This window comes from Homo sapiens, chromosome 17 (genome assembly GCF_000001405.40).
Source record: "Homo sapiens chromosome 17, GRCh38.p14 Primary Assembly".
Classification (NCBI taxonomy): Eukaryota; Metazoa; Chordata; class Mammalia; order Primates; family Hominidae; genus Homo; species Homo sapiens.
Window position 1 is genome coordinate 55388200 of NC_000017.11, and position 12366 is coordinate 55400565.

General features: G+C 39.9%; 1 protein-coding gene across 1 annotated transcript in view; it reads right to left on the reverse strand.

Moving 5' to 3' along the window:
* Window positions 1–4422: 4422 nt before the first annotated feature.
* MMD (monocyte to macrophage differentiation associated) overlaps window positions 4423–12366 on the reverse strand; it is a 29214-nt gene continuing 21270 nt past the window's right edge. The window contains exon 7 of the mRNA NM_012329.3: window positions 4423–6335. Coding sequence (NP_036461.2) covers window positions 6135–6335 — 201 coding nt within the window. The 3' untranslated portion in view covers window positions 4423–6134. The remainder of the gene's footprint in view (window positions 6336–12366) is intronic.

A 12366-nucleotide genomic window follows, 5' to 3' on the forward strand; every position in this document is an offset into this window, starting at 1 on the left:
CGCTTGAACCTGGGAGGCAGAGGTGGCAGTGAGCCGAGATTGCACCACTGCACTCCAGCCTGGGTGACAGGGCAAGACTCCGCAAAACAAAAACAAAAACAAAAACAAAACACAAACAAACAAAAAAAACTTGAATGTTTAAAGAACATTGTTTAAAATGACACAAAATTATTAGAAAGGCTGGGGTAACCACATGCCTCAGTTTAGCCTCGGCCATCATTTGATCCAGAACCATTTATAAGAGCTAGAAAATGCACAGAACAATTTTAAGAGTGGTACTGAACTGTTCTTCAGGTTGTTTGTGCATGAAAAATATCCCCAGGTGGGCTGTAATCATAATTTTAAAAGCTCAGCCATATGGGAAAGAAGCACTAGGATTATTTACCCAGTGTCAATCATATGTCAGACTGTATAAACTTGACACTTTCAACATATTATTTAATCCTTATGACCGCACTGCAAGAGAAGTGATATACCCCTTTTGCAGACAGGAACTGAAGCTCAAAAAGTAATACCAAACTTACCGAAGCTCACCCAGCCAATTTGTCACAGGCTGTCTGCTTCCACCCTGACTCAACACGCAGCTCATAGATGGGATTCAAAAAACACTTTAAGAGACTTCAAGAGAACCAAATCCTAATGATCAAAAAGTTTTCCTGACCTTTTCAGTGACTGACACAGTAGATCGGGTGTGTTAAGTGTGGCCTGGCACAGAACAGCAAAGGACCTGTGACCTCTCCCAGGAGATAGGGCAAGCCTCCAAAGCCTACTTTCCCAAGCCCCCCTTAAGCCTTGCTAGTCTATTTTGACTTCACAAGTCTGACTGCAGTGAAAGTCTGAGTGATAATGAGCTGTGTGGCAGAATGAGAAAGCGTTCTGTTGTGTTGAACAGGCCCCTGATGAGAATAGCTTAACTCCCCTTGCAGAGTGGCGAGAGTGCACAGTGGCACTGTTTCTTGGAAAAATAACACCACCAATCCATTGCAGGGATGTAGGTGGGAATGGCACAGAATGTAAGAACATATTGGCACTGTCTATTTAAAATAGCAAAAGCAGTAGAAAGACATAAATGCAGTAATTCTAACCTTGTTAAACTAAAAACATTCCTCGGGGCCCCTTGAGAAACTTTTATTTTGCTGCACAAGGAGGGAGGTGAACCAGCTTCTTCGAGGTCAGTTTCCTTTGGAGATTTTCCTATTCCACTCTCCATCTCACTGGCACGTGAGAAGAGTAGACATAAACTGAAGACACCAAGTATAAATGTAGAGATTTGGAAATGAGCTCTATTTTTAAAAGGTCTTCCTTTGGGTAAACCCATCAATAAACCTTTGCCCCAGGAATGGCTCTCTTGAAAATGAAAAAAGCCTCTAGGGTTCCTGGGTTCACTCGGGTTCTGCCACTTACCTTGGGCAAGGAAACTTATTCATCTGTATTTGTTTCCTCATCTGTAAAATGGGAATAAGAAAATGATTTATCTATAAGTTTTTTGTAAACATAAAATGAGATAATCCATGTAAACTAGCAGAGTACCTGATACATAAGAAGCAGTCAGTTGTTTATTATTATTACCTTTAAAACCCAGTCATAAATATGGACGAAGCTGTATGTTCACTGCAGCATTGTTTATATTAAAAAATCTAAAGCAATCTAAATATCCAAAATTAGGCAAATGATTAAGCAAAATAGGCTGCATATCCAGTTCTGAAAGATGATGAAATCATTGAAAATTCTTGCTATGAAATGATATAATAGTAATAATAGTTTTTTGTTTTTTTTTTTTTTGAGATGGAGTCTTGCTCCATTGCCCAGGCTGGAGTGCAGTGGTGTGATCTTGGCTCACAGCAACCTCCACCTCCCAGGTTCAAGCAATTCTCCTGCTTCAGCCTCCTGAGTAGCTGGGATTACAGGCATGCACCGCCAAGTCCAGCTAATTTTTTTTTGTATTTTTAGTAGAGACGGGGTTTCACCATGTTGGTCAGGCTTGTCTTGAACTCCTGACCTCGTGATCCGCCCGCCTTGGCCTCCCAAAGTGTTGGGATTACAGGCGTGAGCCACTGCGCCCGGCCAATATAATAGTATTTTTAAATGCTTATAATAAGTAGGAAAAAGTATATAAAATTACATATGTGGCATATTTACAGCTGTATAATAAAAATAGGGAAATAAAAAATTGCAAGTATATTAAAATATATTATGATAAATGAATGCTGGATAATTTTTAGCTTTCTCTATTTTCCAAAGGATTTTATATAGCTGTATGATTTTTAAAGTAAAAATATTCAAAATATTTTTAAAAATTTAAGTTGTTGCTTCTGGAGTATAATCTGCACTAAGACCCAATGATTGCACAATTGTTTTATTTTATTACTATATTCAGAAAAGAGGACCAGAGGGAAATACGTTAGGCCAAATACTTTTTTCTCTCAAAATAATTTTGTAAATTGTTATTTCTAGGAAAGCACCAATAAAAATGCTGGACATTTTCTTCTTTAGGACATATTTTCTAATATTTACACTCTATTTTCTCATCAACTTTCCTGTGGTTGCCACGAATGTTCTAGCTGACCCTTGTGGTCAAAAAAGCCTCTAAGGCCTAAGAAGCTAAAAGTCAGTTTCCAGCTAGTAAGAGTGCTTGTGATGGACAGGATAAACCTGCTAAAACCAAAGTCTGTCCTAAAAAATGCTTTATTCTCAGTCTTTCCCTTCCACAGCAACATTCTCCAACCTTCCCCCGACCCTGCCCCTTTCATTCAACAAAACTTCTTCACTCTTGTCATAAGCCAGTGCTATGCTAGAAGCTAGGAACAGAAGTGGATGAGACTCTGTCCCTGCCTGAAGGAGGTCAGTCCCAAGACCAGAGGTAAAGACAGTAAACACAATCACAATGCACCATGACAGGGGCCATGAAGGAATATCTGTGCCATGGGGTCAAAGGAGGGCACTACTACTCATGCCAGGGGGAACTTGGTCAATGGCACAAGGGAGATGGGTGGCACCTGATGAAGGCTTGGAATAAGCAACTATTTGCCAGGTAGGAAAGGGGCTGGAGTAAGGGCATTCCAGGCCAAGGAACAGCAGGTACAAAAACACAGCTGCAAAAGCACCATGAGGGCATGTGTGTTGTGGGGGAGGCTGTGAAAATCACTAGCAGGGCTGATGTCAAGTGGGGTTCAGCTGGGGAGAGGGCCGATCAGGCGGAGTCAGCATGTGAAGAGTCCATGCTAAAGCATCTGGCGTGAATCTTATAGGATAATAGTCAGTGGAAGTTTTGGAGCATCGAGACACATGCTCAGATTTTATTTTGGGAAGATAATGCTGGTACAGTGTGGAGGATGAGCTCATTTGAGGGGTGTAAGCAGTGGCAGGGATACAAATGAGGAGGTGGCTGCTGTAGTCTGATGAGTGCTAAGTAGGTCTTTTTAGGACCCTGCAGTGTGAAGAGAGGTGAGGAACCAGACCAGGGAGTTGTGAGAAAGGCAGGGGTGACAGTTCTGGCTGACCTGTTGCATCTGGGGGGTGCAAGAAATCAAGGATGCATGAATGAACAGATGGCTGTGGCCATGCCATTAACTAAGTTAGGAAATTTCAGAAAATAGGTTTGGTGGTAGGATGAGGAAAGATAATGAAATCAGTTTGGGACGGTTTGAGTCAATATGTCTGGGAGCATTTAGGCAGTTGACTAGAGAGAGGTCTAGTCCTTAGAAAATAGTTTAAGGCTGAAGATACTGACCAAGAAGCTGACAGCACAATAGTGGGGACACTCTAGAAATGGATGAGGTCACACTGGTGACCTAAAGGACAGAACTCTTGGGAATCATAACGCTTCAAGACACTCAATCTTCAAAATTAGATTTGACAGAGAGTTATCTGAGGGATTATTGAGGTTCTAAACCATGTGAATAGTGTTTTCTTTTCTGTGTCCATGCCTGATGAATTTTTAGTTCAAGTTTTTTTATTTGTTTCTGCTGACTCTAGAAATGCAGTGGTATAGTCAATGGGAGGCTTCGGAATCAGATAGAGCTGGTTGCTGTTCCAGCTCCCTGATTTAGGATGAAGCAGTTGAACTTCTCTGGCCCTGGTTTCCCACACTACAGAAGAGGTAGAATGGCATCTAACACTAGGAGAGTTGTTAAGATTTATAATCTGCTACTTGTCTGGTTGGTAACATAAAAGACTGTCACCTCAGTCCTATAGAATATTAAATATGCTAAACCAAAAGGCTTACCTTGGTAAGGATGCATCATCTAAAAAACTTGAAATCATTAGGTCCTGACTAGTGTATTTTAAACTGAAAATGTCTGTTGATTAATGTTTGAGCTGACTCTGGCATTTCAATTATTAAAAAGTAGACTAGAAAGTTCTAAGTGACAGGGTGTATTCATTTTTCTTCACAGTCATCTAATTTAGAGACAGTGGAACAAATCCAAGTAACAACTTTATTGTAGTATACAGCACAATTTTTACATACATATTAGTGGTTTTGACAGTGTTACTTTTGAGTAGACCTTAAATGAATCCACAAAGTTAATATATTAAAAATAAAATATACACAGTAAAACAACAGGCATCCAGATGTTCAGAATCATGCAGATAGGAGTGGTTTGGTTGGTGTTATCACTGGGTACCTTGCCTATTTAACTCGCCAGCAAATACCACTTCTTCTGTTTCTCATTCCCATATAATTCATCAAAATCAGAGAGTTCTAAACATATACAAAATAAACCTCTTTTAAAGCCACATCAGTAAAAAATTTCAATTAATAAGGTTATCATCAAACCAAGAATTCCACTGATCATTTGATCAGCCCATTACTAGGAAACAGGCAATATCAGCACCCGATCTAAAGGCAAGCCTATTTCATTTATTAAAACACCAACAAGAGAGATTAATCAACAAAGCAACTATTAACAACATGTTAATCTTAATATAAGACACTGAGAGAAAAGTAAAAATAATACATAAATATCACTCCACTGAGCCAGGATATAACTCATGGACTACAGATACATGAGTTTCTACCTGTCAAACAATGCTTTAAATATTTTTTCTAGGAAAAAAAAAAAAAAACACAATATATGAGAAGATGCAAAGGAAAGGCAGAAATGTGAATTTATGCATCTAGTTCCACAATTTAAAATAAATATCAAACTGACAATATAAAGCTAAGTGACAATGACTTAACCATTGGGCACCAAACAGGCAATACAACTGCTCACTGTAATACATAATGCTCTTCAGGAGTTTCCAGCAGATGGCCATCACAACAATACTGTCATAATACAGAAAAAACATTTATCCACTGTGGAAAGAGACCCTGAAGAGAATGTGGCAAAGGCATAGAGAAAAAGTTGGATCTTTTGAAAAAGTTAATGATATCAAAATACTTTTCCATCACTGGTAAACCAAGCTAGGTCAAGTATATGTCCCAAAGCAGCACTGAATTCAGAGTAAGAGGTTGGCAGAAAAGTTTGGAAAACTGCAGTTTTTAAAAATTGGCAATTTCTCCATGCTTAATAAAACTATCAGAAGAGGTATAATGTTTGTTCGTTTGTGGAATGTTGACTGCTTGCTGCAAAAATTTACAACATGAATGAGGACCTGCAGAGATGCATATCAATGAAATATTTTTTTAAAAATTTACAAAAAACTAAAGTTTCTATTTAAAAAAGAACCATGTTATGCCAAGATGAAACATGGTAAAAAGTAGTGTAAGTTCTGTCCATGATTCTTTACCTAGTGAATGGGAAAGTAATAGAAACAATTTTCTTCTTAAAAAGGAAGGTTTGTTATTGCACTGACTTTTACAACCTGACATAGTAATTTAGAAAAATCATGTAGTAAAATCTGTAAAATTAAAATATAAAAGTCTGGTTTGTAAACATCAGTTGGCCAAGTCTATTCAGAGTCCTTCATGATAGTGGAATGGAATGAATAATTAATTCACTACCTTATTTATTTGCTGTGAGGCAGAAAATTCCAGAACACAGCCTTTATACTTTCACAGTAATTATATTCAAAAGATATAAAGTCAGTGCAGTTATTTTTTTTCTTTCCCTGTGCAATGTTTAGCTCTCACCCCACTCCCAAGTGCCATAATTGAAATAATACTGGTTTGGAGAATTAGTACAGATTGGTCATAAATGCCGCATAAAGTCCGTAGGACTTCGGTAAAGGTATTTCCAAATGGCGTAGTAATGCACTGCAGCTGCCGTGGCCACAAACAGGTGCCAGATGGCGTGGGCAAATGGAATGATGCCATCACTCTTGAAGAACACAACTCCCAAGCAATAAATTAAGCCCCCACAGGCAAGTTCCTGAAGTCCATCGGTGTTGTTCTGTCAACAGAGAAAAAAAAATAAAAAGGGTTTGATGTTACTCTGCATGGCAAGCTACAGATAACTGTAATTCTCTCTAAGGCTCTTGATTTTCTAGACAATGAAGAAGCTGTGTGAACACAATCCTGATCTGTAAACATGAACCAAACATAAAAAAAGTCTCTTATACATCGACCTGGATTGCCCTTTGGACTGACACTCTTGAGTTGAGCAAGCAATCACATTACAGGTCCCAAATGAAAAAGCAGAACATTCTGCTCATTTACAGCATATTTAAGCAAACTGCAATCATAGCCAGACATGGGAGTTCATTTTAATAAAGTGCAATCCTCTGTTCTCATCTTCCCCTTTAAATGCTTCCTTCCCTACTAAGGCAGGCCCAAGCCACTCTATTTATAATTTACATCTCAGGCAGGGTATTTACTTCCCTTTGTCCTTCTCAAACACTGTTCTACACTGATTGCTGCTTTGAGACTTCCCCTGCTTATGTGAGCTTATAGATTCCTTAAGGCTGACACAGGAAAACCGTAACTAGAAGTGACCTCTGAAATCACAGATCACATAGTACAAGATATTTCCTAGCCTTCTAGATGTCTCCAGGCCTTTTTGTATTCGAGCCTGGCCATTGCTTAGCTTAGCAATAAGTTAATATTCTTGTGTGTCTTAGGGCAGAAGGGAGAATTTTTTAGGCTGTTCTTGGTTTTCAAAGACCAAGGCCCATCTACAAGATTAAAATGGCTTGTATGAATGAGGAGAGAGAATAGAGGCAATGCTTAGAAGCTGATGAAGAAACAAGTTAGTCCCCTGGATTTCTGAGGACTAGGAATAGAAAGGAGACAGGTTCTGCAGAGTGAATGGAAACCTAAGGCAGATCACGGCAGGGCCTTGGAAGGGGATAGGTGTGTGGGTGTCCTAGAGGCCTGGGCACTGGGCAGCAGCCTTGTGTGCCCCGCAAGAGTAAAGGGAAGCTCTAACTCAGGCACCTGATTAGAATGGGCCCCAAGGCCCTCGGCTAAAAGCAAGGCAACAATAGACCATCATGAGCTAAGGACCAGGTGTGAGGATCTAGGGCCAGCTGTGAGCTTCAGTCCTTTTTCAAAGTTCACAGAAGCCCCCATGTTTTGTGTGGGATCAAAAGATGGGGAAGGAGCCAATCCAAATGGACTGACATTGGATTTCTTCCTAACCTTGGTAAGAAAGGACTTCAGCTAGATTTATTTTTATTTAAAAAGTAAAAACAAAGACAAAATACCACACGTTATTAATTCCTCAAGGTTATACAGCAATGAATACACATTATACAAAAGTATTTGTGTGTGTATTAGGAGCCCTCTTCTAGGATAGGGGTAAGGCTCTCATCAGATTCGCAAAGGGGCACAGGGACTCCCAAATAGTAAGAGTCACTCATCTAACACAACCCCCTTATTGCAGAGGTGAGGAGACTAAGGCCAGAGCAGTGAAGTGGCCTGAACAAAATCACATGGCCAGTCACTGTTACAAAATATCCTTTTTTTTCCTTTCTGCCAAAACAAGCAAGACACCAAACCAAGTACGCAGGTTAGTTTTGACATGCATTCTGTTAACTAGTATCCTCAAGATACCACATTTACCTCAACTTTCAAAGACCTAGAACATAGTTAATTCTGTATCAAAACAGAATTTTTTTTTCATTATCATTATCATTATTGTAACTATGTGCCAGGCACTGTTTGAAGCACTTCATATATTTATTCATTTAATCTTCACAACGACCCTAAATTAGGTACTATTATCTCCATTATACAGATGAGAAAACTTTTTTATCCAGTCTGACAATCTCTGCCTTTTAGTTGGAGTGTTCAGTCCATTGTGATGTAATTGTTATTATATATGAGGTACCTAATTACTGATATGGTTGTATTGAAGCCTCCCGTCTTGCTCTCTGTTTTCTATTTGGTTTCATCCATCCTTTGTTTCCGTTTTCCAATTTTCCCACCTGCTTTAGACTAAATTGAATAACTTTGGGATTCCATTTTATCTTTTCTCTTGACTACTTAACTATAACATTTATTTTGCTTTTGTTGTTGTTGGTGGTGGTGGTGGTTATTCTTTTTTTTTTCTGAGATGGAGTCTTGTTCTGTTGCCCAGGCTGGAGTGCAGTGCATGATCTCAGCTCACTGCAAACTCCGCCTCCCAGGTTCAAGTGGATTCTCCTGCCTCAGCCTCCCAAGTAGATGGGATTACAGGCGTGTGCCACCACACCTGGCTAATTTTTGTATTTTTAGTAGAGATGGGGTTTCATCATGTCGGTCAGGCTGGTCTCGAACTCCTGACCTCGTGATCCACCCACCTCGGCCTCCCAAAGTGCTGGGATTACAGGCGTGAGCCACCGCGCCTGGCCAGTGGTGGTTATTCTACGGATTACAGTGTGCATCCTTAGCTCATCACAATGTACCTTTATTATTATACCCCCTATACAAGGTTAAGACCCTTAAAACAATGTGCTTCTATTTCTCCACCCCATCCATTGTTACCATGTACTTTACTTCTACATGTTAGAAACCCCCATGTTATCTTGTGAAGAAATTAAGAAATGAAAAACAGCCATGTATTTACATACAAATTCATCATTTCTAGCAATCCTGGTTTATTTATTTATTTATTTAGAGACAGCATCTTGCTCCGTTGCCCAGGCTGGAGTGCAGTGGCACGATCTTGGCTCACTGTAACCTCTGCCTCCCGTGTTCCAGTGATTCTCCTGCCTCAGCCTCCCAAGTAGCTGGGACTACAGGTGCCCACCACCACGCCCAGCTAATTTTTGTATTTTTAGTAGAGACGGGTTTTGCCATGTCGGCTAGGCTGGTCTCGAACTCCTGACCTCAAGTGATCTGCCTGCCTTGGCCTCCCTGGTTAAATTTTTGACATTAATATTACTAAACTGTGCTAACTTCAACTTGAAGTTGACAGGGTTTTTTTGTTTTTTCCTTTCCGCATTTTATTTATTTATTTATTTTATTTTATTTATTTTTGAGATGGAGTCTCATGTTGTTGCCTAGGCTGGAGTGCAGTGGCCCGACCTCAGCTCACTACAACCTCCTACAACCTCCACCTCTTGGGTTCAGGCGATTTTCCTGCCTCAGCCTCAGCCTCTCGAGTAGCTGGGATTACAGGAGTTCTGCCATCACATTCAGCTAATTTTTGTATTTTTAGTAGAGACAGGGTTTCACCATGTTGGCCAGGCTGGTCTTGAACTCCTGACTTCACATGATCCACCCGCCTCAGCCTCCAACGTGCTGGGATTACATGCGTGAGCCACAGCACCCGGACCCTTTCAGCATTTTAAATGTGCCATTACATTGTATTCCTGCTCCCATGAATTCTGATAAAATGTCAGTGGTCATCTTCTCTCCTTGCTCTTTTTTCTCTCTCTGGCTGATTTTAAGGTCTTGTCTTTGCCTTTGTTTTTTAGTAATTTGACTTTAATGTGTCTTAGTGTAGTTTTCTTTGTGTTTATACTGCTCAGGCCTCCTCGTGCTTTGTGGATCTCTAGGTTGATATTTTTCATCAAATTTGGAAAAGTTGTAACTATTATTTCTTCAAAAAAAAAAAAAAAAAAGAAAAGAAAAACTGTAAAACAGAAAACCCAAAACAAAAAACTGCCCCAATTTCTTTCTTCTTTTGTTCATTTTTAAATCACTCTTTTCTCTCATGCTTCAGTTTGTATAGTTTCTACAGACCTGGCTTCAAGTTCACTGAACTTTGCTTCTGCAATATCCAATCTGTTATTAAATCCCTCCAATAATTTTTTTTTCTTAAGACATCACAGTTTTCGGATCTAGAATCTCCATGTGGATTCTTCTTCATAGTCTCCAGGTATTTTCTGAGATTCCTCATCTGTTTTAAACTCCCTGTGTGTGAATCTCAGTATCTCTCCCGTCTTTTGATCTGTGTCTATTGATCTGTTTTCCCTTAGGTATGTGTCACTTTCCAGTTTCTTGCCCATCTGGTAATATTTATTATATATTTATTATTTATTTTATTACATTATTATTGATTTATTTCTGATAATATTTACTTATGGTACATGCTAAGTTGTTACAGTAAAGATTCTGTTGTATTCCTTTAAAAATTGTTGAGTTTTGTTCTGTTAGGCGGTTTATTTACTGGAGGATCAATTTTATCCTTTCAAGGTTTGTCTGGGCCTTGTTATGGCAGTTCTAGAGTAGCCCTCCCTCTAGGGATAGAGTAGCTCTACTCCTAAGCTGTGGCCTTGGCAGGGTCAGCTGAGTGCCTGGGATGTCCAGCACCATCTCTGAACTCTGCTTGGTTGGAACTTCAATGTCTTTCAGCACTGGGAACTGTCCGGAATTTCCATTTATCTTCCAGCCTTCTAAGAGTTATTTGCAACTGGAGCTTGCAGAGTTTTGGCCCGTACAACATTCAGCTTGATATCTGGACAACGACTCACGGAAACTGCTTCATGGATTTCTGAAGCATCCTCCCTGAGCGGCTTCCTCCTCTTCCATACCCTGCCCCACAAACTGCAGCCATGTCAGTAACCTGAACTGTAATTTCTGTTTCCTCCACCCAGGCTGCTGTTCTCTGGGCTTTACCTCCTTTTGTTGCTGTTTGGAAAGTGTCTCCAGGGAAACTACTGGGGTGAATTCAAAGCTCATTTTCTTGGTTTCTCTTCCTTCAAGGATCACAGTCCTGTACTGTTTGGGTTCAGAGCCAAAAAAACAGTTGCCTTTATTCTTTTTCTAGTTTTACAGTTCTTTATGGCAGAAGGGTAAGTCTGAGACCCATGATTCTGGCCAGAACCAAAGATTCGCATTTTCATTCATTCTGTTACTGTGTTAGTGGCTTTTGAGGTCCTTTGTGATCTGGACTCTTGTCTAGCTCTCCAGCTTTATTACAAGACTTGTGCTACCTGCATACCTGCCCCCACCATGCATATGTACATAACTCAAGCTGGTACATGTATTTTATGTTACAAACAATGAGCTATTTTCATTTCTCCAAAGATGCTGGTGCTTCCCCCTTCTCTGGGCTTCCTTCATGCTGTATTCTCTACCTGTAACACTTGCCTCACCCCTACCATCTCTCAGCTTCTACATGTTTTTCCAAATCAGCTGAAATATCACTTCCTCTGGTACTTCTGTCATGTTCGCATAGCAGCCTGAACTTTCCCCCATCAAATATTTTATCAAATTTCATGATCTCTTTTTCTTTAATAGGAACTGCATTTGCCTGCTTGACTCTAAGTTCTATGAAGGCAGTGTGGGGGATCATCCTGCTTGATTATCACAAACATTAGTCACCTGCTATTGTACCACTTATGGAAATGTCAATTTCAAATTTAGGCTAGTAAAATTACTGGATAAACCTGCTCTTATGATACCCAGAGGGAATTTGCTTGAAATTCTACTCTATTAAGCTGCACAAACCTTGCTTATATTGCTTGGGGTGTCCTGAAATGCCTTCTAACTATATGGCCTTCAAGGCTGATTTTCTCATTTCTGTCCTTTAACTCCTCCTCCTTACCATTCCCTGTTGCTTTTACCATCTATATGTATTTTGGGTGCTAGGTAATTATTAAAGCCATCATAAACCTCGTATCTCAAAGAAATATATTTTGTTATATTCTCATGAAGACATCCCCTGAAAAAACAGAACCAGATTTGAAACTTTTAAACCTTTTATAGGTGTTTTTGTGACCAGGAAAAAAACTATCACAGAATTATGTTCTTACAGCCAGGCGTGATGGCTTACGCATATAATCTCAGCACTTTGGGAGGCCGAGGCAGGTGGATCACCTGAGCTCAGGAGTTCAAGAACAGACTAGCCAACTTGGTGAAACCCCATCTCTACTAAAAATACAAAAAATTAGCCAAGGGTTGCAGCCCGCATCTGTAATCTCAGCTACTTAGGAGGCTGAGGTGGGAGAATCACTTGAACTCAGGAGGCGGAGGTTGCAGTGAGCCAAGATCGCTCTACTGCACTCCAGCTGGGCAACAGAGCAAGACTTTGTCTCAAAAAAAAGAAAAAAAAA